The sequence below is a fragment of the Homo sapiens genome, chromosome 1, assembly GCF_000001405.40.
Source record: "Homo sapiens chromosome 1, GRCh38.p14 Primary Assembly".
NCBI classification, from domain to species: Eukaryota; Metazoa; Chordata; class Mammalia; order Primates; family Hominidae; genus Homo; species Homo sapiens.
The window spans coordinates 7677743-7705662 of record NC_000001.11 but is presented as its reverse complement, the minus strand read 5'-3'; the positions used below and the strand labels follow the sequence as shown (position 1 = coordinate 7705662).

The 27920-nt window shown below is 54.9% G+C and overlaps 1 protein-coding gene and 1 long non-coding RNA gene across 44 annotated transcripts in view, besides 1 other annotated feature; one reads left to right on the top strand and one right to left on the bottom strand.

Annotated features, from left to right (window-relative positions):
* The window catches only part of CAMTA1 (calmodulin binding transcription activator 1), a 984253-nt gene that overhangs the window by 64044 nt on the left and 892289 nt on the right, over positions 1-27920 (bottom strand). For 7 of the 42 annotated variants that reach the window (NM_001349616.2, NM_001349615.2, NM_001349618.2 and 4 more), the window contains exon 1: positions 769-927. The exons of 33 other annotated variants lie outside the window; for them this stretch is intronic. Coding sequence is in view for 1 of the 9 variants with exons in the window: in NM_001349613.1 (NP_001336542.1) it covers positions 25448-25490 (43 nt within the window). In the remaining 8 variants the exon portion in view is untranslated. Of the gene's footprint in view, positions 1-768; positions 928-25447; positions 25576-27920 lie in introns of those variants that run through there. 2 more of the 42 variants (NM_001349613.1, XM_024454332.2) reach the window with 2 other exon arrangements.
* Positions 761-1180: a silencer, noted in NCBI's record as "silent region_185". NCBI's record gives its function as "represses an Ori minimal core promoter by ATAC-STARR-seq in GM12878 lymphoblastoid cells {active_cell/tissue: GM12878}" and the evidence as "EXISTENCE:reporter gene assay evidence [ECO:0000049][PMID:35858748]".
* Positions 1101-12539, top strand: LOC105376689 (translation initiation factor IF-2). 2 transcript variants are annotated; one of them, NR_188653.1, is made up of 5 exons: positions 1101-2315; positions 2433-2552; positions 3005-3281; positions 3939-4044; positions 4640-12539. It is a non-coding gene; the product is annotated as a translation initiation factor IF-2 (long non-coding RNA). The 2 variants fall into 2 exon arrangements; NR_188652.1 differs by having other exon boundaries at positions 2433-2556; positions 3010-3281.

Here is a 27920-nt window from a genome sequence, read left to right as displayed (position 1 = left end):
CGGGAGCTCCGCGGGCCCCGCCGCGGGAAGGAGGCGGCACTGGGTCCCAAAAACCCGTGTTGAGGAGAAGCCGAGCGCCCCAACACACTCGCCGCCGGCCGGGCCGGGCCCCCGCGCGCCCCGACGCCGCCCCAGCCCCGCCCGCGCGCGCCCGACACGCTCGTCCCCGCCCTCGCTCCGACACAGACACACGCGCGCGTCCTCGCACCACTCCAGAAGCTCATCCGGCCCGCGCGCGCACCCAGACACGCGTGGCTCACACCCGCCGCACACGCCCCTCGCACAAACACGCGCGCCCCTCACGCCCTCGGCCACTCCAGACACACGGCCCCGGGCCCCACGCAGGCTCGGGCGTCGACACACCCTCGCGGCATGGACACGCGTGTCTCCCACCCACTCCTCGGCCAAACGCACCCCTCCCTGCAGCCCCTCACCCTTGCTCCTCACACTCACTCCCCACTCTCGCCCCAGAAACACGCCCCTCACACCGGGCCCGCCGGATCCCCACACTTCCCACTCGCGCCAGAAACGCGCGCACCCTCGTGGCCCCTCCCTGCCGCGCGTAAACACGCCCGGTCCGCGCACGCCCTCCCGGCCTGGCCCCGCACACTCGCGCCAGAAACACGCGTGGCCGCGCACCACGCCCCCGGCCCGCGAGCACGCGTGTCCCCACGCCCCGGCCCCGCCCCCGCCCCGCGCGCGCCCCCGCCGGCCGCCGCCCTCGACCGCACGCGCCCTCCGCCTAGCCCCGCGCCGCCGCGCACCTACCCGGACCTGCTGAGCTCGGCTCCTGCTCGTCAGGCTTGCGCCGAGCCGCCGCTCACTGGCTCCCGCGCCCCGCCCGGCCCCGCCCGGCCCGGCCCAGCCCGGCCCCGCGCCCGCTCAGCTCCACTCGCCGCAGCTGGAACGACTCGCGGGGCTCCGGGTACCGCGGTCTCCCCGCCACTGCCCGAGTGCGCCGCCCGGACCAATGGCGGGGCGCGGCGGTGAGCTCACCGGACCAGACCCCGCCCCCCAGGCCGCGTGGTCCAATCGGAGGATGCGACGTCACCCGGAGCCGGGCAGAGGCTGGTGCGGGGCGCGGAGCCGCTCGGCGCGGGGACTGCGCCGGAACTGCGCCCGAGCCGCGCTGGACGGCGGGGGCCCGGCCGGAGGTTGCGGGCGGAGCGCGGCCCGGGCGTCCCCGCGCGAGAGCCGGGCCCCCGGTCCCTCGCGACGCGGTCCCCGCCGCTCCGCCCGCCCGGCTCAGCGCGGCCCGCGAATGGGGCGGCGACGGTTCCCTCGAGGCCGGGACGGCTCGGAGCCCGACGGCTGCGCCCGCTGCCCGGGCCGACGGCCCCCGGAGCCCCGCGCGGGCCTCCCGTTCCCCTTCCCGCGGGGCCGCCCCGCGCCCGCCCTGCCTGGCTCCCCGCGCCGTCGGGGCCGCCCGAAGCTCCGCGCCGAGGGCCCGCGTTCCCGGGCTCGGGCTCCCTGCGCGGCCCCGGCGCGCCCTGCGGCGGCGGCGTCTGCAATGCAGCCGGCGGGAGGAGCCGGCGCTGCGCAACGAGCGGGGAGGCGTGGGGGCCAGGCTGGAGGGAGGGGGCCGGGGCCCGAGGACCCGGGGAGGGCCAGGGCGGGGCGGAGGACGGTGGGCGGGGACGGTGGCGGCGGCTCCGGCTTTGGGGAGGGGGTGCGGCGCTGGGCCCCCTTAGCTGGAGTGCAGGCTCCGCCCACCCTTTGGGTCTAACCTCCGCGTTCCAAAGTTCCAGCTCCAGCCCTGCGCACTTGGGGACTTCTGCGTGAGGGTCTCTCGCCCCGGCCACAAATCCCGAGCCGCACCTCTTAATCGAGGCTCAGGCGTCCCGAGCGGATCCCGCTTTCTTTTTTCCCTGTGCTGTTTGCAGTCCCACGGCCTCGCACAGAGAAAGTGCCTGACCCCAAGACCTGTGATGAGACCGCCTATTTTGTTTTTGTTATATACTAATAGATATAGATATATAGATACAGTCAATTATCTGTAAAATCGGCCATGTCTCTGCCACCTGGGTAAAAAGGTGTCTCGAAATTGGGGGCGGAGTCTCTTTTCTGACCCTACCCAAACGCACACAGAAACAACCCCAACATTTGCAGAGCCCTTAAGCCTGTACACCCAATGAGGAATCGCTGGTTAGAGGCCGCGTGAAGGACACCCTGACCAAGCTGGGTCCTGCCCATGCCGGTAGATCGTCCATGGCTTCCCTTGGGGGCTGCCACCCACTGTAAACCTGAGCAAGTTCCTCTCCTGTTCCGAAGCCTGCCCTGGCAAAGCCCCAGTACATATTCCAATCCTGCTCTAGGTCAGTATTCCCACTGCACCTGTCTACCCCTCGCCCGCCCCCCGGGTCACCACGCAGGACCCCTTGCACGCTCCCCCCACCACCTTTGCTATGCAACTCCTCCCCTTTATCTGCTAGGGAGACTCCTATGCATTCATCAAGGTCCAGCTCAAATCTGGCCACCCTCAGTGGCTTTTCCTGACGCTCTCAGCAGAACCAAACCTCCAGCTTTGTTATGTGTTGGTGTTGCAGTACACAGTGAGTGAGTTCTGTTTGTTTTCCAGGGCGGCAATGAAAGGGTAGTCATCAGGGACACATAGGCTCGGGAAACCAACCCCCCTGGGTTCAGAGTGGGCTCGTTGCTAGCTGTGTGCTCCACTGTCTGTGCCTTCATATCTATGGTGCGGGAGTTAAAGGAATCAATAGGTGGAAGGTGCATGTACCAGTGCCTGGCACTGATGTACATTCAATCAAAGTTAGCTACCGTTGCCAGCTTTGCCAAAACGGGGTACTTGGGGGCGAGGAGGAGTGGCTGGAGGCTGGGGTTGGGGTGGCTTCTGGGTTTCTGGTGCTGTTTTAATCTCGACCTGGGCACTGGTTTTAGTTTGTGAAAAATCATTGAGTTGCATACTTAGAATATGTGCACTTTTCCATATGTCCATCATACATTAATAAAAAGTGTTTCTAGAAGTTAGTTGTTTTTCACTAAGAGCAGGACAGCCCTCATCTCCTTGAGAACAAGAACAAAGCCTGACATCCCAGCAGCTTGCACAGTGCTGGCGGGGCACGCTGTAAGTGCTCAGCTGATGGTTGTTGAATTGCTCTGAATGGATTGTGAGCAAGAGACCAGCAGGGGTGGAGGCTGACAGGAGAGACAGCGCCTGCCTCTGTACTCTAAAGTGCCGGGGAACTCGTGGTGATTTGGATCCAGTTCAGGCACCTGAAGCCCAGTTAAAGAGAAGGAATCTTCAGTCTTTTCTCTCTCAGGTGGGGAAGTTCTTTTTCCTGTTGTTGTTGTTTGTTTGTTTGTTTGTTTTGGCAGACACAAGTTTCAGCCCTGGCATCCCAGCTGTCTGAAGGAGGGGCCTCAGGGGTACCCATGACCCCTCACCCTTCCTGCAGCAGCCCCACCTCTGCCGAGCAGGTGGGACAGGTGGGGTCATGGCTGCAGCAGCCCAGGAGGCACTGGCTGAGCCCTGCTGAGTGGGTTGGGGTCAGGAGCCTGGGGTGACGTTTCTGCATGGGGAATGTCCTGGTATTGTTTCTCGGCTGGGCTCGTTCTTCTCCTGGAGTGCCTGCCACTCACTGCACCACAGGAGCAGGAGGCTTCCTTGGGTCCCTTTCTTGGAAAGTCAGGCAGAGCTAGGGTGGGATGAGCTGGGTGCTCCTGAGGCAAGCCCCGAGTGCTGCCAGCGCCCTAAAACTGAATCTCCACAGGTGGTTCCTTGTGGTATTCATGTTCTTTCTTCCAAGTTAGAAGATGAGAGAATAAGGCACGCGCATGATTCAAGCATATTGTTACACTGGGTTTTTATGGGGCTTTGAGCATACCTGGGTTGTTTTGTAAAATAGAGAAAAAGAATACTCAGTTATGAGTCCATTGGCAGTACCAAGGTTAAGTGCAATTTTTGTCCTTTAAAGCAGATACAGCCGGGCACGGTGGCTCACACCTGTAATCCCAGTACTTTTAGGAGGCTGAGGCAGGAGGATCACTGGAACCCAGGAGTTCGAGACCAGCCTGGGCAACATGGTGAGATCTCCTCTCTACAATTTTTTTTAAAAAAAATTAGCGGGGTGTGGTGGTGTGTGTCTGTAGTCCTAGCTATTTGGGAGGCTGAGGCGAGAGGATTGCTTGAACCCAGGAGGTTGAGGCTGCAGTAAGCCATGATCACACCACTGCATTCCAGCCTGGGCAACAGAGCAAGACCCTGTCTCAAAAAGGGGGAGAAAAAAAGCAGATACAGGGAGTTGATATATCAGCCCTAACCCTGCTGAGGGTCTCAGGATGAACCCAGGGGGTGGATCCTGTTGCAGAGGAGGAAGAAGGGAATTTCAGTCTGTTGGATGCCTGTTATCTGCCTGCTGTTGTGCCAGGCACTCACGCTGCTGCTAAGTCTCCTGCAAGCAGGATATTCCATAGAGGGTAAGACGAAAGCTTCAAAAAGTCAGATAACTTGCTCAAAGCCACACAGCTGGAAAGCAGTGGATCTGGGTTTCACTTCAGAGCCTGTGTTCATTCTGCCCTATTCCAAGCACCTAAAAACTCTTACCATTAAGTAGATATCATTTGTTTAACAGAACAGTCTGGAAATTTCTACAAAGGATTTTTTTGTTTTTTGAGACAGGATCTCACTCTGTTGCCCAGGCTGGAGAGTAATGCCATGATCTTGGCTCGATGCAGCCTTGATCTCTACAAAGGAATTTTACCACAGTGATTAAAGTTCGAGATGCACAACAGAAAGTCCACATCAACTGATTTCATTACACCTGTTACATTTCAATACACTCCAGGGAAATGGTAGTCATTAATATTATATACCAAATATCTCTGGTTGCTATCCCTGGGGGTGCTTTGCACTGGCCTGTACCCTTTGAAGTTAGATGTGACCATGTGACTTTCTTGAGCCAATGAAACATGAATAAATCTGATGTGTATTATTACAGATAGAAGCTTTAAGAGCCAGTGACCTGCCCAACACATTCTTTCCCCCGGCCCTGGCAATTGTGCAAGCTTGTTTATAGGAAAAGGTAGCCTCTGCCAGCCGGGGCCCCTGTGTGACCATGATGAGTAGGGCCCTCCCTAGCAATTGTAGTTGGACTTGTAGCATGAATGAGAAATCCAGTCCTGAGATTGAATTGGTTGTTACTGCAGTATAATCTAACCTCTCCTGTCTGATAAGAAATCAGATGTTTCTGTATATATCAACTTCCAGTAAAAGAAAAAATCATAAGATTCTGCTCAAACTAAGTGACAATTTAAAAATAAGAGCAAGATGCATATTCAGTATATCTTTAAGGCTTGAAGAAATAGAAAATATTTTAAAAAGCCACAGGTAAAGCTGACAAGGCAATTCAATGGGGAAAGAATCGTCTTCAACAAATGGGGCTAGGACAATGGGCTATCCACATGAAAAAGAATGAAGTTGAACCCCTGCCTCACACCATATATAAAATGTAACTCAAAGTGGATCAAAGACCTACATATAAGAGGTAAAGCTACAAAACTCTTGGAAAAAAAATACGGCAGTAAACCTTCATGACCTTGGATTTGGCGATAGTTTCTTAAATATATCAAAAGCACAAGCAACCAAAGGAAAAAATAAATAAATTGAACATTATCAAAATTGAAAACCTCTTTGCTTCAAAGGGCAACATCAAGAAGTAAAAAGACATTTCACTAAAAGGGAGAAAATATTTGCAAATCTCATATTTCATAAGGGACTTGTATCTCAAATATAAAGAGAACTCTTACAGCTCAAAAATAAAAAGCAAAGAACCCAGTTTTTAAAATGGGCAAAGTATCTGAATAGACATTTCTCCAAAGAAGATCAATAATAAGGGCAATAATCAATAATGCTCAACATTTGATTTGAGGAAATCAAAGTCACTGAGGAAATGCAAATCAAAACCACAATGAGATACCACTTCACACCCACTAAGTGACTATAATCACAAAGAAAGACAATAACAAGCGTTGGCAAGGATGTGGAGAAATTTGAACTTTTGTACACTGGTGGTGGAAATGTAAAATGGCACAGCTACTTAGGAAAACAGTCTGGCAGTTCTTCAAAAGGTTAATTATAAAGTTATGATGTGACCCAGCCATTCCATTCCTAGGTATATATCCAAGAGAATGAAAGGAGATGTCCATACATATGGACATTTACTTAGCAATAAAAATAATGAAGTACTGATACATGCTGCAACATGGGTGAACCTTAAAAACATCATGCTAAGTGCAAGAAGCCAGCCACAAGTCCATACATTGTATTACATCATTTATAGAAAATGTCCAGATTAGGAAAGTTTATGGTGACAGGAAATAGATCAATAATTGCCTAGGGAGGGTGGTGGGGGGGAGCTGAGGAGGAATGGGGAGTGACCCTGGTTCATGGGCAGCAGGATGTTTCTTGGGGGATGAAAATGTTCTAAAATTAGTTTGTGGTGATGACTGCACAACCCTGTGAAAACACTCAGAAACTTTGTACTTCAAATAGGTAAATTGTATGGTATGTTAATTATGTCTCAATAATGCTGTAACACACACACATAGACAAAGGAGAATAGAAAGAGAATGAAGAAGTATAGAATAGAAATCAATGGATTTAACTTGAGAAAAGAAGACTGACCGACGGAAAAAGCTAGGCCCAGGTCAGGAGAGTCTGATGGCCGATCCTCCCAGTGAGTCGGTCTGGGCCAATGTGGGGTGCAGTGGCAGGAGGGGAATCTGAATAGACAGGCCCTGTCCCATGACTACTCAGTGAGGAGATGAGACTGGCACAGGGGAGGCCCTGAGTCACACGATGGTGATGCCCAGGGCAGAAGATGTCAGAAGACAGGCAGTTTGACAGTGCTTCTGAAGGTCGTGAAAAAGCCAGGGGTGAGTCTGTAAAGTCCCTGCTGGCCATGATGATGTCCCTGACAGCTGGGGATCCTGGCGAGAACAGCATTCAGAACTTGGGATTTTCCTTGCAGATCACAATGGTTGGCTGACTCAGGGGAAAGGGGGAGCTTTGCAGAGAGCCTCAAACATCTCCAGCTGAGCTGCACCTGTCAGGGCCCCTGAGCCATCCAGGAAGAAGGAGGCACTGAGGTGGGGAACGGGGTCCTGGCCTGGGGTCAGCAGCCTGGGCTCTGGTTCCAGTTCCGCACCCCCCCTTGCCCCCCAGAACTACCTGTATGGCAAGCTCCTTTCCCTTCCTGTGCCTCAGTTTCCTCCTCTGTAAAATCAGTTTAGACTACACTGCAAGGTTGTCCAGCCCGCAGTCAGTGGGCTGCATGCCAGCCAGGACAGCTTTGAATGTGGCCCAACACAAATTCGTAAACCTTCTTAAAACATTATGAAATTTTTTTGTGTGTGATTTTTTTAACCTAATCAGCTATCATTAGTGTTAGTGTACTTTATGTGTGACCCAAGACAATTCTTCTTCTTCTGCTGTGGCCCAGGGAAGACAAAAGATTGGACACCCTGGACTAGAGTCTCAACATAATTCTTTAAAAATCCTGTTTAATCCAAATCCGTTGTTGCTGCTGAAGGGACAGGTCTAAGGCCATGTTGGTGGGGGGGGGGGGGGTCACAGTGCGTGGCCAGCATGACCTGACAGAGCAGGTGCCCCTATGCTTCAGCTGCAGGGACTCTGGGCTTAAAATCATCAGTCCCATGAGTGCAGTTGCATGTGTGAGCTTGGCCAACCCACGGCATCAAGAGAAAGTACCCATTCTCATCATTTTGAGCCATTCAGCTTTGGGTTGGCTTGTTATACGGCCAGAGATAATGGTCCTGACAGTGATGTGGAGGATAGTGGGGAGAAACAGTGTTTGCTACCAGGATATGCCATGATTGGCGTCATCCTGGGAAGGTGCCAGCTGTAATATGGAGGGAGGAAGAGATGCATTAGCCATCAGCCCAAAAACTGGCAGGTTTCTCCTAATGGACATAATGCAGAAAAGAATCCAAGGAAGCGGAGTGAAACCACCTTCAACTCATTCTCCCTGCTGGCTGACACAGGCCCATCCATTCCGCCAGCAACTTCTACCAGGCCCCCACTATTACACACATGTTGGATGTTAAAATACACAGCTATTCTCCCCATTAAAGTGGGCGAAATGCAGAGACATCTCTGCTGTGAAGGGGAGCAGGATACTAAAAAGCGGATTGTCCCAAATCAATTCAGGTGGTGGGAAGGCATGGTGAAAAAGTGCCCACTGGGCTGCAATGTCAGATGGCCCTGAGTTCGAATCCCCAGCGGTGTGACACAGGACAAGTCACTTGACTCCTCTAAGATTCAGGCTCCTCGTCAATAGAATGGGGATGGAAAGATCTGGAATACGGCCGGGATGAAGTTGGATAATAAACTTAAATAGATAGCCCAGGGCCTGGTGGGTGCCCAGTGAGGGCTCAGGGGATAGAACCCGGAAATCACCATCACTTCGGGTCCTCCTGTCCTCAGGATGTGCTCCAGATCTTTCAGGGTGGCAGATGCCTTCCTGCCACTTTCCTCCCTATGCTGTTCGAATGAGCTTGCCTTTCCTGCCTGCACAGCAGCTGTGTGAGGGAGTTGGCCAGGATGCCCTAGGCAGATTGAGTAATCCCACACAGGTACAAGAGAGGTGCTCCAACGGAATCTTATTCTGTAGCCATTCAGGAGTAGCTGGAGTGAGACGACCTAGGCCCAGACCTCTTAGCATGCACTGGTTTAACTCACAGGTCCCACCCAGCCCAGCCTGCACCAGCAAAGCAATACAGGCTGTTTCTTCTAAGCAAGAATTCCCACATGTCCATGCACTTCTTCACCTGGCTAAGGGCTCACAGATCCTCCCGTGCAGAGTGTATGGGCTGCCACGGCCTTCTCTACGGCTCCCTGTGCAGGGTCCAACCCTTCTCAAGCTCCTGAAGAGGTGCTCAGGAGACCCCAGTCTTCAGGTCTGAGACAGCATCAGAGGTCCTGTGGGGCTACAGTCAACTTTTCCATGAGGCAGAAAGACCCCACTGAGCCTTCAAAGAGGATGCCGTGTACCCTACAGCCCAGTAGAGTCACAGTGGTAAATGGGCATTTTAATCAGAAAAGTACTCTCAAAAAATGCACTAAATCAAGCTGTCATGGTGTGGCTTTCTTATAAAGCAGATAACATTTATTTTAAAAAAAAAAAAAACTGGCTGGGCACTGTGGCTCACGCCTGTAATCCCAGCACTTTGGGAGGCTGAGGAGGGAGGATCACGAGGTCAGGTGTTCGAGACCAGCCTGGCCAATATAGTGAAACCCTGTCTCTACTAAAAATACAAAAAAGTAGCCAGGTGTGGTGGTGGTGCCTGTAGTCCCAGCTACTCGGAGGCTGAGGCAGGAGAATTGCTTGAACCTGGGAGGTGGAGGTTGCAATGAGCCGAGATTGCGCCACTGTACTCTGGCCTGGGTGACAGTGTGAGACTCCGTATCAAAAAACAAAACAAAACAGCAACAACAAAACAAAAACTTAGAGATCTAATTAAAGAGAAACAAGTGTGCTCTCTCATAGGCAACAGTGGAGTCAAAAGACTGTGACATTTATGAGAAAGCCATTTTGACATCACCATCCTCACAGCCACTGAGCCACTGTCAGGTACCCGTGAAAATGAGAGCTGGAAAGTTGTCCTTTTAGGGAAGCAACTAGCTACTCCCTAAGAATAATAAGTACCAAGGTCATGAAGAGAGGAGCTGTGCTGTTACCAACAGGAGACAGAGCAATCACAAAGGAAGGCCCAATTCTGTGCAAGTGCATTTTAAATGACAGCCGTCTCCTGCACCAGGGGAGGCAGAGCTGACATATTTAGTTCAGGGAGCATTTGCAGATACCTTTGGTGCTAAATGACATTACTTAGAAAAAGAAAAAAGTGGCCAGGGAAAAGCGCACACATGACACACACTCGCATGCCCCCACCCCCTGCTGATCTCTCTTTGGCACCCTGGGTCACTTTGTCACTGTGGCCCCTCATGGTGCAGCCACAGTCCCATGCAGGCCAGCACCTCACTGGCTCTGGAACCAATGAAGTGGAGGCTGTCCCCTGCTTGGCTCTGCTGCCCCCCAGGGCCTAAGAAGCACCTATGTCCAAAGTGAAATACCATGGATCGTGCTCTGTCTCCAGAGTGGGAACAAGAAACGCAGCCCCACCCAGTGATCCTCCTGGTCTAATCTCACTTTCAAGTGACTTGGAATAATGCCAGGGCGTTTCACCAAATATAAAAATGAGCACCCACTCACTCTGTTACTGGGAATGAAAAAATGAGAACGCCGGGGAGGAATGATGTCTTTGAGTGCAATTGGGGGCCTTGGAGCTTCAGGCTCCCTGCCGCGCCCTCTTCTCTCTGCTCAGAGCTCGCTCTTGCCTGCTGCTTTCCAGGGGAGGGGTGTAAAGACTCATGATGAATGCGTCAGTCATTTCCAAGTTCCAGAGTGCTGGGGGCTTCCAGGGCATCAGGTCCCACCTCGTGGGGGCTGTGTCTGCAGCATTTCTGGGCTGGCTCCAAAGCACCTCTGTGCAGGCCCTGTACAGAGCTATCTACCGGTTTCTCCTGGCTTTAGCTCTCCTGGGTGACCCAGACCAGACCTTCTGATGTCATAATAAACATCATGGAGCTTATAAAATTAGAGCAATGATGCATTTTTTATGCCTCAGGAATTACACTGAATTGTTAATGTCTTGGAAAATGGCTGAATGCTGCATTCGTAGCTTTCCTTTCCCTTAAGGGTGAATTATTGAGCAGGAATGCTCTCTCCCCAGGTCCCCGCCCTGGCTCAGAGATCCCTGTCTGCACCCAGCTGGGCACTAATTGCAAGGTCCGATCCATTCCCATCAGTGTTGAGGAGAGGAAGAGAGGTCTTGTTGGAGAAGAGTAGCCATCGAGGAGGGGACAGTGGTGCTAGGGCTTCCTTCAGCCTCCCAGCCCCCAGCACAGGAGAGGGAGACAGCAGAGAGGGCCGGAGGGAGGGAGCTGGTGGCTTAAAATGGAGCCGTTTACAACCCCGCACAGCAAATGGAGCCATTGGGAGGACACTTGACCGAGAGGAGAGCATTGCTTGAGCCAGGGGTGCCGTCTGCAGGACAGAGACAGGAGGCAGTGTTGTTTCCAGGGCATCGTGGACCATGGCACAGGTGAGCAATTTAAAAAGGTGATTGGAATCATATGTTAGAATAATGACCTTAGCAGTCAAAGGCTCCTGGAATTTGTCATTTAATTTCATATTTTAGGTGGACTGATCTGTAATTTAGTTAATTTCACATCTCCATCTAGGAAAACTGGAGCTCTGCACAATATTTTCTGCAGACGACAAAGTATTCACCCAAACTATTTCTCATAGTAAAATGTGCTCTTTGTCCCCAGAGAACTGCTGAATACTACATAAGATCTGTGTAGGAGCCATGCTTTAACAACAACAAACACCTCAGACACACAACAACCCTTTCCTCCCTCGATAAAGATACTGAAAAGAATCTGGTCTCTGGGGTGAGGAGTAGGGGAAGCAGGTGCAAGCAAGTGGGTGCAGAGGAGTGGGAAGATGGCATTTTGTGTAGGAAAGAATTTAACGTTGCCCAAAGAGAGGTCTGGCTTTTGTCCTCACCTTCTGGGAGGTGAACTCTAAGCCCTTGGAATATCATGCCTGATTGGAGTTTGTTTGCCTGGGATCCTTGTGTCACAGAATGGTCTAACCATATGATTTAGGGTAGATGCTGGCCACACTGGATAGGTTTAGGGTAGGGGTTGGCTGTGCCAGAAAGACCAACAATGTGACTTAGGGTGGGGTCTTTGGGTCACGTGGTATCAGCTGACTCTGGAGGAGCTGGAGAGGGAGGGCAGTCACCTGTGTGATGGAGCCGCAATAAAAACTCTGAACACTGGGGCTATGGTGAGCTGCCCTGGTTGGCAGTACTCCATGGGTACTGTCACACATCAATGCCAGGAAAGTCATGCTTTTCATGATTCCATGGGGAAGAGGACAGTGGAAGCTCCATGTCTGGTACCTTCCTGGACTATGCCCTATGCCCTTCCTCCCTTGGCTGATTTTAATCTGTATCCTTTTGATGTAATAATGTGCAACTGTGAGTATGAGAGCTTTTGATGAGTTCTGCGTCCTTCCAGTGAATGATCAAACCTGAGGGTGGTCTAGGGTACCCCTTGCAGTTGGTGCAGCAATAAAGGTGGTCTTATGTGGATGGTGCTCCCTTTAACTTGACAGGTGGCTAACTGATATGGTTGGCTGTGTCCCCACCCAAATCTCATCTTGAATTTCCATGTGTTGTGGGAGGGACCCAGTCGAAGATAATTGAATCATGGAGGCAAGTCTTTCCTGTGTTGTTCTCACGATAGTGAATACATCTCACGAGATCTGATGGTTTTAAAAACAGGAGTTGCCCTGTAAGAGCTCTTTCTCCCTTTGCCTGCTACCATCCATGTAAGATGTGACTTGCTCCTCCTTGCCTTCCACCATGATTGTGAAACTTCCCCAGCCACGTGGAACTGTAAGTCCAATTAAACCCCTTTCTTTTGTAAATTGCTCAGTCTTGGCTATGTCTTTATCAGCGGTGTGAAAACAGACTGATACATTAACACTTGCACATTCTTTCTATATATGAAGGGCACTCCTATGAGCACACATTACAGTTTTGATAGAGAATTAGCCACTGTCAAGTGTGTTCCCTCCAGATGGAGGCACAGAGGGGTTCCCCTGGCTTCTCACACCTCCCGGACACTCAAGCACTCCTCACATTAATTGTGTTGTTCCGTGTGCCCCCTGCCCTGGGCTGTGAGTTCCTGGGGGGTGGGGGGATGCCTGGTTGATGGGTAAAGCCTTGGTTCTAGCAGGTACTGCTGAATGACAGGTGGGTGGACGGGCTGCCACCTATCAACGCTGTTTCTTCCATATAGTTTATGACCCAGTTTGGGGGTGAGGTGCCTGTGAATGACAACCTGAGGCTGGGTGCTGGGAGGCTTCAACAGGGCCATGATGTGAAGCACCAGGCCTGGGGCCTGGCTGGTGATCATTACTGTCACTGTCACACCAGTGTGTTTTGAAGCAGCAGGATTCCTGTGCATAGGGAGGTTTTCATGGCCCCGACTCACCTACTCACTCATTCATTCATTCATTCTTTCTTTCGTTCTTTCTTTCCTTCACCAGGCTAATGTGGGACTGGGTCAGGGGCATTACAGAGGGTCAGATGAGGCTCTCCTCCAGGGTCCATGCACCACAACCTACCATGTAGTGACTTGCCAAGGACCGGCCTGAGAAACCCCCTCCCTCTCTGAGGCCTAGAGAGAGGGCTGAGCAGCTCCAGGAAGAAAAGTGCTTTTTCCTTTCTCTTCCAGCTTCAGTGAGCTGAAGGGAGGATTTCTCACCAGGTGGCCCTTTAAAAGCTCTGAAGGCAGCCTCAGGGCAGGTTCAATAAAGAGGTAGCAGAGGGTCAAGCTTCTGCACTTTGGTCTTGGGTCATTTGCCTGGAGCTTGTTCAGTGACAGGGAGACCCAAAGGGAGGTGACGCTGCCTGGTTAGTCCTGGACACCCTACCCAGCCTGGTTCTGATGTCAGAGAGGATATCCGGGTGGCTGGATCCTAAAGCTGCAGTCAGCCCTGAGGACAATGGCCCTGAAGATACCACTAGGCCATCTGTACCTCCCTCCTTCCCTCCCTCCCTCCCTCCTTCCTTCCCTTCCTCCCTCCCTTCCTTCCCTCCCTTGAAGAAACCTTCATCGAGACCCTACTGTGTCCCTGGACCCCTACACTGGGGCACAATGATAATTAAGACAGAAGTTCTTGGCCTTGGGACTCAGCAATATTGTCATGCTTATCAATTTCCTCCACACCCACAGATGTGCTTTATTCAGTGCCACCTCCACGCAGACATTTCAGACTTCTCTTTCTCTCTCTCTCTCGCTCTCTTGTCTATTTGCTCTCTCAGCTCTGGGGCTACACCCACCTGCCATTGACTTTTCACACAGATGTCCCAAAAGCCCCTTAAACTCAGCTCAACTCCTGACTGGTCCTCCTCCAAGGTGAATGACATGGAGCCTCCATAGTGAATCCACCCACAAGACCTCCTGATGCCATCTCCTCGGTGGCTCTCACACTGTCCCTGTGCCCCCAGAACTGCCAAGTTACCATCATCTCTAGCCAGGATGATTTCCTGGTCTCCCCTCACCCTCTCTGAGCCTCCTTCAATCTGTTCTCCATGTGGCTGCCATGTGCGCTTCTTCAGAAGCCAACTTGGTCACGTCCCTGCCTCTCGAGCCCTCAGTGGCTTTCCTCTCCTTGGGGATAAAGCCTGGCACACACAGCCCTGGCTCTGAGGGTCCCTCCAGCCCCTGTGGCCTGATTCACTGCCTGCCCCTCTGCCTCACTGGCTTCATGGCTCCCTCCCACCACAGAGTTTCTGCGCGTGCCATTCCTGCGGCCTGGAATGTTTGCCTTCTCTCTTCAGGGAGTTAACTTGTGCTCATCGTTCAGCTCTTGGTTTGGGGGTCATTTCTTCAAGAAATCCCTCCCAGACCTCCTCGAGAAGTCACCATCCTCCATCATAAGGTCCCCAAATGCTTGTTTGTGCGAAGACAGGTGGTCAGTTCGGATGTTTCCTCCCCTGGACGGGAAGCTCGTTGACTGCAGGTCCTCATCTGATCCATTTCTTCTGATACTCATCACGTGACGCAGTGCCTGGCACCTAACGGGTACTCCACTGACGGTTGTCGTGAATAACCGGGAAGCAAGGACAGGCTCTAGCCCTGGGAGGCAGCTCCAAAGTAGTGCAGGTGCAACAGGAAGAGGCTCCAGAAGCCTCACATGGCATAGAGGTCAAGAGCGGATGATGGGGTCGCACTGCTGTGTGTGACTCTCTGCGCCACCCACTCACTGTTGTCTGAGCATCCCCATCTGTGGAACAGGGGCCTCACGGGTTGCCGGAAAGTCTCAGTGAGTCACTACACATGGGTACACATCAGTACTTCATGGCCAGGTCCTGGCAGGTGGTGCATGTGCAGATGTCAGCTGCTGTCCCTCCTGGTGGCAACTCTGTGCCAGAAGGTGTTTTGCTGAAAGAAACAATCCTGGTGGCTCAGAAGTCTGCCATGTGTCTCAAGACCAATCGATGCAGCTTGGTGCCACTGAAGTGATGCAGGATGTCACCAGCTCTTCTCAAGACCACCAAATGGGGTGTGGGGCTGGGGTAGAGTTCCTTGCCCACATGCCAGCACATCTCAGGATTTGGTATGACAGGAGACACTCTGAGGCCTCCACTGGGTACCTCCCGATCTGCTGATGCCAGAACTGGTCCTTCTGCATGAGGGCCAGGGAGCAGAGGGCTAGAGCCAGGTCACTGCTCCCTCTCTCCTGCCAGTGTGAATGCCGGGAGAGTGTCAGCTCACTCCGCGGGGACACCAGAGGCAAAACTTGACCTCGCCAAAGAAACCACAACCCACCACACAGAAGCCGCCCAGGGCTCCCAGCTGGCTCTTTCTTCTTATTTTGAGATGGAGTTTCGCTCTTGTTGCCTAGGCTGGAGTGCAGTGGCGCAATCTTGACTCACCGCAACCTCTGCTTCCCGGGTTCAAGTGATTCTCCTGTCTCACTCAGCCTCCCGAGTAGCTGGGATTACAGGCGCCTGCCACCACGCCTGGCTAATTTTTTGTATTTCTAGTAGAGACGGGGTTTCACCATGTTGGTCAAGCTGGTCTTGAACTCCTGACCTCAGGTGATACGCCCAACTCGGCCTCCCAAAGTGCTGGGATTACAGGCACGAGCCACTGTGCCCACTAGCCGGCTCATTTCTTATCTGCCTTTGTGTCCTAGCTTCTGGGGCATGGGTGAATTTGGCTGTGGGATGGAGAAGGGGAGGCAGACAGAGGGAGGAGAGCATGCAGAAGGAGTCAGGAGGTGACTTCCATCCCGATTCAGCGATGGCTTGGGGCCAGCAGCTGCTCTTCCTGGGGCCTGGGTTCCTTCCAGAAGAATGAGGAGATTGGACTATGGGACAAGTTCCAACTCCTGAACAACCTCCGTTTGTTTTTGGTGTATCAACTGTTTTCCCTCTGCCACTGATTTTTCTTTTTTTTTTGAGATGGTCTCGCTCTGTCACTCAGGCTAGAGTGCAATGGCACAATCTCAGCTCACTGCAGCCTCAACCTCCAGGGCTCAAGCGATCCTCCTGCCTCAGCCTCCCGAGTAGCTGGGACCACAGGTGCCACCTGTGCCACCACACCTGGCTAATTTTTGTATTTTTTGTCAAGACAGGGTTTCATCATGTTGCCCAGGCAGGTCTTGAACTCCTGACCTCAAGCAATCCTCCTGCCTCAGCTTCCAAAAGTGCTGGGATTACAGGTGTGAGCCACCGCGCCTGGCTTGCCACTGATTTTTTTTTTTTTTTGAGAAGGAGTTTCACTTTTGTCATCCAGGTTGGAGTGCAATGGTGTGGTCTTGGCTCATTGCAACCTCTGCCTCCTGGGTTCAAGCGATTCTCCTGCCTCAGCCTCCCGAGTAGCTGGGACCACAGGTGCCACCTGTGCCACCACACCTGGCTACTTTTTGTATTTTTGGTAGAGAGGGGGTTTCACCATTTTGGCCAGGCTGGTCTTGAACTCCTGACCTTATGTGATCCACCCACCTTGGCCTCCCAAAGTGTTGGGATTACAGGCATGAGCCACTGCACCCGGCCTGATTTTTTAAAAAGTCTCCTGTTATTCATGAAGTATGGTCCATATGACACATACCTGCCTCTCACTGTTTTTCCCCTAACAAAGGACTCTGATTTCACAACAGGTGCAAAGTTTCAGCAGATTACTGCTGGGGAGGGAGCCAGTCTTCAGCCTATCAAAGACTATTTTGAATGTCCTGGTGTCACAGATGTGGGGGACAAGGTTGCTGGGCTGCTCAGAAGGGTCAGAGATATGTGTATTTTTAGGAGCTTCTGAAAGGACAGGGCTTTGTCCTTGGCCCCAGTTAGAGGCTGAGCATTGGACTGGATGGGAAGGGTGTCCTCTCACCTTGCTCAGGACCACTAGGAATTCACATCCCCTCAGAGGCTGCCCTAGCCCCCAACCAGCACTTGTGTCTTCTCTTCTCCATGGTGGGTGTTCTGGGTCTCAGGACCACTTCTCCCGGCAGCTGCACACACAGACTGGCACCTCCCTTGGTTTCCAGGGAGATGGATTCTGGGAGCCCAATCCCAGTAAAGGCTAAGGATGTCAGCCCATTGCTGGCCTGGACCAGCCAGATTCCCTGACCGGTCTCTCTGTGGTCCCAGCTTTGCCAAGAGGCCTTTCTTCAAGGCTGTGCTTTTAGTGGAACAGCTGACCCACATCCAAATGCTGTGGTAGAATAATGGGAGTCCGGCTGGGCATGGTGGCTCACGCCTGTAATCCCAGCACTTTGGGAGGCCGAGGCAGGTGGATCACTTAAGGTCAGGAGTTCGAGACCAGCCTGGCCAACATGGTGAAACTCTGTACTAAAAATACAAAAATTAGCTGGGTGTGGTGGTGCACACCTGTAATCCCAACTACTTGGGAGGCTGAGGCAGGAGAATCACCTGAACCCAGGAGGCAGAGGCTGCAGTAAGCTGAAATGGAGCCACTATACTCTAGCCTGAACGACAGAGCAAGACTCTGCCAAAAAAAAAAAAAAAAAGGAATAATGAGAGTCCGACGTAATCGATTTAGGAGCTGGGGCGTAATTGCCTGAGCAGGCCTGCCAGGCAGGCTTCCGGTGAATCTGCACGATTCTTGCACCCAGCAACAACCAGTGGTCAGGGCCCTGGAGCTGTCTCCACCAGGTCTGATACCAACACAGTGTTTGGGGGTGAATCACAGTTTGTTCCTGCTTTGGGGCTCACCTGGAGCCCCTGCTCCCCAGCGGGGAGCCATGAAGAAGGAATCTGTCTCTGGGACTCAGAACAGATGTGGGACATCTCCACGAGCCCAGGGACACAGAAGCTGCCCTCCTGGGGCCCACGGACCTATCAAAAGGTTGGCAAGACCAACACCAGAGGTGCAAGATGGGAAAAGCAGGGGACGGGGCCTTGCCTTCTGCTGAACGAGCAGTGGATGGGGCAGTGGGAGGCACGCGATCTCCTGGGCCAGGCAAGAGTCCAGGAGGCTCCTGCCCTTTCTCATCTGACCCCACACTGTGGAAGGCTGTGACTCTGAGCTCAGAGACAGGTATGGTGCCGTGTCACCTGGATTTTCCAGCCACTTCTCTGAATTCTGCAAATCCGTGGAGCTCCCTCTTGCCTCAGGACCTTCCTACCCACCTCCCCCTGCTTGGAGGGCTCTTACCCAGCTCCCTGCTTGGCATCTGACCTGCCTGACCACGTCCTTTTTTTTGAAACACCTTCGTTTCTTAGCCTCCATGGGTCACATCCTGCTGGTTTCCCTCCGTTGCACTGGCTGTCCCCCTCCCTCCTTGGCCAGCTCCTCCTCTGCTTGGTGTCCTCATACCAGGGTAGCCTGTGCTTGATCCTGCAGCCTCTCCTCTGCTTCATCTGTGCTGTTTCACGGAGTCTTCGTGCTCAGACCTAGGGCGCTAAACGCCATCTGCACGCGGAGGACTCCTAAACGTCATCTCCATTCTGGATCTCTCATTGGCCTCCAGACTTTCAGACCGCAATGTGAACCCCGCATCTCTAATGAGGTTGTCAGCTGTAACGTGACCAAAACTGAACACTAGATTCCCCTATCCCCTTGGGTTTGCTGCTTCTTCAGACTTCTCCATCTCAGGAAATGGTTTGCTGTTCCTCCGGTGGTTGAAGCCCCAAATCTAGGCATTATTACTCATTGTCCTCTCTCGTTCTTCATATTCAAATCATCAGCAGAGCCCTTCACTTCACCTCCAAACAACCCCAAACCCACCCTGTCCCTCAGGAGTCATTGTTCCGGCCTTGTCAGAGCCACAATCGCCTCTTGCCCGAACGGACGCAAGAGCCCTGGAGTAGTCTCTGTGCCGGTGGAGACACAATTCATTCTCCACGTGGCAGCTGCGGTGTTCTTGCAAACATACACCTGTGTGTGGCAACGCCCCTCCCGTGGCTCCCCACTGACCTCAGAATAAAAGCCCAGCCCCCTACTCTTGGTGATGCATCCCATGTGGCCTCTGCTGAACCCCCTGGCCCTCTCCCATCCCCGCAACCCCCTCCACCTCCCCTTCCTCTATTCTGACCGCAGCTCCCCCAACGCGCCAGGCTTGCCCTCTCCCTGGGGGCTTTGCTCCTGATTCCCTGTCCTGGAATATTCCCCCCACGGTCTTACTGTGGCTGGCCCCTGCCTGTCACTCATACCCCAGCTTGAATATCACCTTCTCATACAGGCCTCCTCTGACCTCTCCTGGCCTATAAAGCAGCCGCCCTGGTACCCTCTCCCAGACCATCCAGGGGAAGTTCCCTGCCCAGCAGGTATCAACATCTGACAGTTTCCTTTGCATCTTGTTTGTTGTCTTTCTCCCCCGCTAGAATAGAAACTACAGGAGAATAAGGATTCCCCAGAGCCCAGAACAGTGCCTGGCACCCAGCAGATGCCGAGTCCATGTTGACCAGGTGATGGAAGACCAGGCAGCCCAGGTGGAAGGAGGTGGGAAGACTGGTTAGGACGTGCACAATTGATTAGTTTGGGCTGAATTAAGGTGGTGGCAGAGAGGATGGCGAGAAGTAGAGAATGTGAGAGAAATAAAGGAAAGAAACATGCTAGGCTAGTATTGGGATGTCGGGGAGGGAGTGAGCAAGGGGTGACTCCTGGGTTTTTGGGTGGGATTATCCACAGGGGTCAGGAATGTTATCAGAGAGGTAGGTTGGGGAAAACAGAAAGAACGGCCATTTGTCCTGTCTGGGACCTACTGGCTTGCCCAAGAGAAACGTGGGTCAAGCTGCCCTGTAGGCCGTTAGATGGATGGCCTGGATCCAAGAAGACAAACAGAGGGGCAGCCATCCCTGCACCCTAGTAGGTGGGAGAGCGAGCCCTGGCTGGGAAGAAGCCCTCAGGGAGCGTGGGCAGGGAGAAGAGAGTAGTCAGGAGAGAGCCGGCCATGGGGACATGACAGAGAATTTTGGAAGGAGAAGCTTGGAGACTGAGGAGCAAGCAGGGGAGTGGGAGGGAGGGGCAGAATCGCACTGCCCAGAGCCAGAGGGCTTCGCCTGGGGAAGGGGCCATCAATGGGGACACAGGGGCTGGGAGTCCTCAAGTGGAATGAAGACAATCAGGCCGTGGGGTCCACAGGGATGTGCTGTGGTCTCGGCAGGAGCCAAGCTGGTCAGTGTGTTCATGGCAGGTGGCTGTGGGAGGCCGCCCTATCCTGCTGCCCCATGGCCGTCCCTGAGCATTCCAACAGGAGGGCATCCTGTGAGTGGCTCCTCCAAGCCAGGAACTGATCTTTCCCATATCTGCATCCTTCCCTAAATACGTATTGCTGTGTATATAGTAAATGCTCAATAAACACTGAACGGAACTGTACTTCCTGTGATGCTCCTTAAAACACACCACCTGTGACCTCAGGACGGTGCCTGCGAACTCCTCAAAACACACCACCTGTGACCGCAGGACGGTGCCTGCGAACTCCTCAAAACACGCCACCTGTGACCACGGGACGGTGCCTGCGAACTCCTCAAAACATGCCACCTGTGACCGCGGGACGGTGCCTGTGAACTCCCCGACACCGCGGAGTCCCCGGAGCCTAACCTGCGCGGCTTCTTCACTGCGCTTCTCACAACACCTAGGGCAGAACCCCGTGCACAACAAACCCTCAGGAGGCTTCTGGTATTTTCTGGGGGTCAGTTTTGCCTTCAGTGAGGCCTGACGGCTGGGATCATGCCCAGGACCATGCCCTGGGGACTAAGCCTACAAGATATGGAGCCCTGCATTGAACAGTGTTCCTCAAATGCTCATGTCTACAGGGAACCTCAGAATGGGACTTGATTTGGAAATGGAGTCTTTGTAATTAGTAAATTACAAATGTAATTAGTAATTCATTAAGACGGGTTCACACCGGATGGGGTTGGCCTTAATCCAATGACTGGTGTCCTTAAAAGAAAGTAGGGACACAGACACACGCAGAGGGAGGACAGTGCAGGCAGAGACTGGGGTTCTGTTGCCACAAGCCATGGATCCATAACGATGATCAGCAGCCACCAGAGCTGCAAGTGGCCAGAGAGGGTCCCTCCCTAGCGCCTTTGGTGGGGGCACGGCTCTCTGGGACCTTGAACTCTGGCTTCCAGTCTCCACAGCCGTGAGAGCACATCTCTGTGTGAAGCCAGCCAGTTGGTGGGCATTTGTCTGGCAGTCACAGGAACAGCTGGCTGATCTTGACCCCTGGAGGGTCTGAGCTGCCATAGTCATGCACACTCTGGAAGGAGCCATCTGGCCCGCAGGTGGCAGGGAAGCCAATCCTGGGAGAGGAGCCTGCATCTGCCCGAGTCCTGGGGCGTCCTCCACAGAGTCAACTTTGCTTCCTGCCCCAACGGCCAGGACAGGGTGGCAAAGGCTGCCCCTCGGCCTTTGCTGAGAGGCAAGCTTCCTCCTAAAGGCCATTTCTCCGCAGGGCACCATTTGCCACTGCTCCAAGGAGGCCGGATGGGACCCAGCTCCAAGGTGACCCACTCCTTGCTACACAGAGGAGCTCCACACAGGTCTGCTTGGTGTGGCTCCAGCTGCAAATGGCAGGAAGTCACTGTCCCAGGAGGATCTGAGGACCAGACCTCTTGGTCCTGGCTGAGGAGCACAGCTGGCTCCTTAGGAGCCCCAATGGCTAAGATGCTCCCCAAACTGGATGCTGATGCGACTCCCACCCACTGCGGTGCTGAGGAAAGCAGGCCTGGGGAGCACATGCACCCAAGCTGACAGACACCCACCGCAATGTATAATGACGGAGGCCCCACAGACAGCGAGAGACGGGTTACGAGGAGGGCCCTGTGCTTTGGAGCATGGCACTGGCTGGGCTCGGAGAGGACGTGACTCCTGCCACTCAGCCTCAGGTCCCGAGTGCAAGACCGGCTCACGCCAGCTGCTTCTGTCACCTGTTACTGCTATGCACAGAAGTACCCAGGGGCCCATGCGCTAACCAGCTTGTGCTGGCCCCAGTCCCCACTCCAGGTGGATGCCAGAAAGCTCTCGGTGGGGTGGGCGTCCTTTCTTCCTTTGGGTGACCCCTGGGTCAGTGCTTCTCCAGCTCCCCTAAAGAGCTCCCGGAGGTGGGAGAGGGTAGGTGGGGGCTTCCAGTCTTTCACTATGGGTGTAATTCAAAGTAGCTCTTTGAAGTCAAGACCATTCACCCATACTGTCTAATCTGAAAAATTCTTGTGAATTTTGTATTCTGCTCCACAATACAAACTGTATTGGTTTTAGTAAAGCAAAGGCATTTTACATTATTTAGCAAGGAAATAATTTTTGCTCCTCTGTCTTCCATTATCTGGGACAAGTGATGCCTTTGGAATGTGTTCTCAGTGTACATTGTATGTTCTTTTTTTTTTTTTTTTTTGAGACAGAGTCTCGCTCTGTCACCCAGGCTGGAGGCTGGAGTGCAGTGGCACAATCTCAGCTTGCTGCAAGCTCCGCCTCCCGGGTTCAAGCCATTCTCCTGCCTCAGCCTCCCGAGTAGCTGGGACAACAGGCGCTCACCACCACGCCCGGCTAATTTTGTTTTTGTATTTTTAGTAGAGGCGGGGTTTCACCGTGTTAACCAGGATGGGCTCGATCTCCTGACCTTGTGATCCGCCTGCCTCGGCCTCCCAAAGTGCTGGGATCACAGGCGTGAGCCACCGCACCCAGCCAACTCTGTGTATGTTCTCTTACAGCATCCCATGTCATGCGATGTGTTCATGGGCCAGCTGAGGGTTGCTCGGAGGTGGGCTGGGTGGATCTGAGGGAGGGAGCCAGCCTAGGAGCGGCCGGCCCAGGCCCACTCAGCAGAAAGCCCTGGAGTGTTGCCATTGGAGGAAGAAGCACCCAGAGGCCTCCCAGGGACCAGTGTCCCAGCTAGAATGGCCTTTCCCACTGTCCCTGGAATGTACCCCTGGACTCTGGGACAGTGTGTGATCTCCCAGCTCTGGTGGGTGGAGGCTGGTACTAGAATCAGCCCACAAGGAAAGGCCAGCAGGACCACAGCCACATGCCAGGGACAGGCCCTCTCACACCTAAGGTGGCAGCTCCGAAGTGGGGGCAGAGCTAGGGGCTGCCCCAGAGACACATCTTCCATCTGTTAGCACAGAGAGCGTGGACGGATCAGAAGGCCAAACCAAGAGGCCTTTCCTTCTCTCCACTTGCTTAGACAGGAGCGAGGCTCTCAGTCTTCCCAGACACCTACCCCAGGGCCAGGCTGCCCCAGAAGTCACAGGATAACCCCGTCTGTCTCTGGCCAGCTGCAGGGGCAAGCTGTCTGGGCTCACCCACCTTACACTGAGGCTTGCCCAGGAAGCAGGCAACTGGATAATGAAGTTTGAGCTTTTAGTCCATGCTCCCCGCTCTGCCTGAGATGACAGGGTCCCCCCTCACCCCTGAGGCCAGAAGGGGGCCTGCCCAGGAGACCAGCCAAGCCCAGGGGAGCTGCACGCAGGTCTCACTCCAATCCTCTCACCCAGGCAAGGAGGCTCAGTTGCCTGAGAAGCACTGAAAATAGAGTCTAAGTCTAAGCGGCTTAGTGGGGTTCCAAGAAGGGCCGGCAGGTGGGGGTGGGGACAGGGTACCCTAAATCTTCTCAACTTGGCCTTGGGGGAGAATCAGATGCTGTAAGACAAGAAAGAGGCACACAAAAATTCCGCTCACCTTCTCTTCTAGGGACCCAGGTCACTTAAAGGTGTCCCAGTGTCCTTGGCCAGAAGAGGGCCCGCCCCATCCCCTCAGCTCCAGGGCTGCAGTGTTGAACTGCCTGGGTTTATTCTCTTTGTAAACACAGGCACAGGCGAGGCCAAATCTACACAGACAGCATCCTCTTGAAGTTCAGCACGGCCCTGGCTGTTGTATCCATAGGACCTATCACAGGTATAAGTGACATTTCCCAGAGATCCTCCCCAGTGGGTCTCCAGGGTAAACCCCATTGCCTGCCTACCTCTAGCCTGGAAGAGGTCCCCCTTGCATCTTTGTATGAAGAGCTGGCCTGCTCAGACCTCCCTGGGGTCCTGTGCAAATGGCCTGGGGTCAGGTCAGGACAGAGGAAATTTGTTCTGAATCCGCACCTTTGTGGGTGGAGGAGAAATGGTGAAAACGGCAGTTCCCGAAGACCCTGGGTTAAAGGCAGCCGCTCATTCCCTCTCCTGCCACCCTTGATGCCCCCTCTTCCCGGGCTAACCCTGCTCAGGCTTCAGGTCTCACCAAGGGGGTCGTTTCCTCTGTGAAACCTTCCTTACCACTAGTTGGATTCAGCTTTTTGACAGTCCCTCCTGCACTCATTCACGTGTGCCTGCATTCATATCACAAATATGTACTGCAGCCCACCACGTGCCAACCCTGGGCTAAGTGATGGGGGTCCAGCAGACAGGGCCTTTGACCCTGGAGCTCACAGTGGGGCGCAGGGGAAGGGAGGGGAAGACCCCTAGGTCTGGGGGAGGCGCTGCAGCTCCGGGATCCAGAAGGCTGCGATTCCTCCTCCCACCTTCCCCCATCTCCACGCCCGGTCTCTCCCAGGATGGCTGCGCCCCAGCTGAGATTTTGGGGACGTCGGGTCCCTGCCCCCCGGCCCCAACGTGGGGACGATCGCCCTCCGCAGGGCGGGGCTGCGCAAACAAAAGCTACGCCGCGGGGACAAAGGCTGCGCCGCGGGGACAAAGACTTCGCCGCAGCAGCTGCTGCTGCTGCTGCTGCTGGCGCGCGCGCGCGCGCGCGTGTTCTCTGCGCCCCGGACCCACGCCCCCCCCCGGCCTTTAGCCAAGCAAACAAATTCATGTTTTAGATCAAATGAGGGCAGACAGTCTCTTCCCCGCCCTCAAACATTTTCCCCCGCGCATGGCAGAGGGGACAAAGGGCGCATCCCACATGCAGCAGAGGCCACCGAACGAGGGAGCCAGGGCTCGCCGCCCACCGAAGGCCTGTGGTCCCCGCCGCACGGTGCGGCGCACTCGGAGGCGGGTGGCCGGGCTCAGGCCTTCCTAGTCCCGCGGTCCTCGCAGTCCCTGCTGGGGCCCCAGACCCCGCGGGGCGCGGCGCCGCCAGCAGTTCCGCGAAGGGCCCCGCATTGCGGCTGCGCGTCGGCGGGAGGGCGCGCGCGTGGGAGAGAGTGTGTGCACGCGCGCCGCCGGCAGCCGTGCCCCAGTTTGCTCCGCGCTGCAGTCCCCTGGCGCCCACCCCTTCCCCAGCCCTCCTCCCCTCTCCGCGGCGAACCCGTCTCCACGGCCTGGCCAGCGCGGAGGGAGAATCGGCCCAGCGCCCGCGGGGACGGGAGGGGCTGAGCCGAGAAGCTGCGGAGACCGAGGGGAGGGGCCGGGAGGGACAGGCGGGGAACGGAAGGCTCACCACCGCCCGGCCACTGCAGCATTGGCCCGGACGCAAAGTTCATGGCCAGGCCCCGTGGCTGGCCAGAGGCCCGGGACCCCCGCGCTCCCGACTAGCTGTTCCCGCGGCCCCCTTTGCGCTGCGACTGCGGCGCTGCTTCCCCTCCCCTCCCTTAGTATTTATCAAGCTGGTGAAAGGCTGGGAAGGCTGGGCCCTTGGGTGGGTGAGTGCCTTGTATTCATTTAGGGGGAAAAAGAATAGCCAGGGAAGACCCGCTTCTCCCCAGCCAGGTGGGGTCTGGCAGTTCCTCTGTCCCTGCCTCCCACTCATTCCTTGAAAGGACAACTGGCCCAGACCAAAGGAAAGCGTCCTTCAGGGCCCTGATCTGCTCTCTGCAGGGCCCCTGGGCCGAGGTGGACCCCAGGCTGGTCCCCTCTGGTTCAGCAGGGCGCTCTGAGCTGGGGGTCCAAGCTGCGGAGCTACTGTTCCCCTAGCTGTGCCCTGGCTGGTGGTAACAGAGGCGATGCTGCTGGACGCCCAGGCCTTGATGTCATCGCCGCCCCAATTCCTGTCACCCTCCTGTGTATCCTGCAGGTGCAGGGGTGCTTATTTCAACTTGGAGGCCCACAGAGTTCAGAGCTCAAAGTTCTGGGGGGGGGGGCAGCTAGGGAGCAGGTGCCCAGCTTGGCGGCAGGCCCATCTCGAGGGGCCTGGGGTGGCCGAGGTCCCGGGGTGTGTCTGTCATGAAGCAGTTGGGTGGCTCCCCTTCCCCCCGGTTTCTATGGCAGCATCCTCCCGTGCCGTAGCTTCTGGGGTACAGCTGGCTCTCTGGGTTTCCAGGGGGCCTGCAGATGTGTCCTGAGCTCTGGGGCACTGCCTGACTGTGACTTTGCTCTCTGAAAAGGCTCCATCTGCCAGGCAGGGTCCTACAGTGGTCCCAGCATCCTTGGGTTCATTCTAGTGAGGCCGGCCAAGTCACTCAGGGAGAGCCAGAGCTCTGGAGAGTTCCTGACTCCATTCCCCATTTGTTCTGCAAAACTAAAACCAGATTTCCTAAACGGGAGCCCCTGGTCACCCTGCCCTTCTTTGTTACATCCTGTGGGTGGTCATCACAGCTCTGCCTGGCTCCGGCCTCAGCCAGAGATGCTGCCAAGGGCAGCTCGGTGCCCCAGGGCAGCCCATGCTAGGGTTTGAAGACCCAAAGCCACCCCAGGGAATTGTCTCCTGAGGGTTCACCAGCCAGGGCAGCTGTCGGCACCCTCTCTCTCGGCTGGGGCAGGGACTGGGATAAGGCTGAGGTTTACACACTGGGTGGTTCAGGAAATGAACTATGTACCCAAGCCCAGAAATCCTCCAGCAGCCAACAGCAAGGGGCAGTCTGAGAGGTGAGACCCAGAAGGCCAGCTGTGGGTGCGGGGTGCGTGAGGGGGTGTTGCTTGGAGAACCCACCCCTGCAAGGGGCTCAGGCTCAGCTTAGCCCAGACCTCAACATCCTGGGCTAGCAAGGTCTCCAGCAAGGTACCCCATGGAGTGTCACCTCTGTGGGCTCACCTGATACTGAGGTTATGGACAGGCATCCCTCCTACCGCATCCCCAGTGTACTGGGCTCAGCCCCCCAGGCCTTGGCTAGCTCTGGGCCTCCTGACGTGTGCCCAGGTGGGAAATGGCAGCCTCTGGCTCTGGCGTCCCCAGCCTGCCTTTGGCAGCTCTTCTCTGCAGAGCCCCTGGTACCCCAAGGGGAACCACCAACACTCACCGACCCCCATGGCCAAGGCTGGCAGCTCTTGGAGTCCCTGCCTCTCCTTGACCACCAGGTCCTGCCTGCTCCCTTGAAGCCCACTGGGGTCCCTGACACTCTACCCTCTGCCACAGTCGTGATCCTGGGCTTGCCACAGACGCCGTACAGGCCAGAGGTGGAATTAAAATCAGCCAAGAAGCTGGAGTTGAGGGTATTTGAGGGCTTCCAGGAGAAGATTTGGCTGGTTAGCCCCAAAAGGCAGAAGCAAGCCCCCAAATTCGAAAGAAGCCCAGGCCTGAGCTGCCTCCCCGTCCTCTTTCTCGAGAGGCTTGGGGCTTGGCGATGGCCTCTGGGAACCCTTTTTGCTTCCAGGAGCCCGCGGAAACAGGCCTGGAGGGGCACAGCGGGTGCTTGGACCTTGCTGCCTGGGGTCCTTCGCCAGAGCCTCTTAGCTGCCCTGGGCTTGCTTGGCCACTCAGACAGCCCAGCAGGCGTGCCAGCCACAGGCCCACACTCACATACTTTTCAGTCTGTCCCAGGGAGAGACTGAGATTGAGGGTGGGGCCAGCCAGTGTCCAGACACAAATGGCTGACAGCATAGGCACTCAGCCTGGCGGTGGAGACCCAGTCGGCCTTCCTTTGCTCACATTGGCACCACTTCCTGCCCCTTTCTGGGTGCTTACTCTTCTTTCACACCTTGTGCAAGAGTCCCCAAGCATCCCTCTCCCTTGGTGCCTGGCAAGACGACCCAAGCAC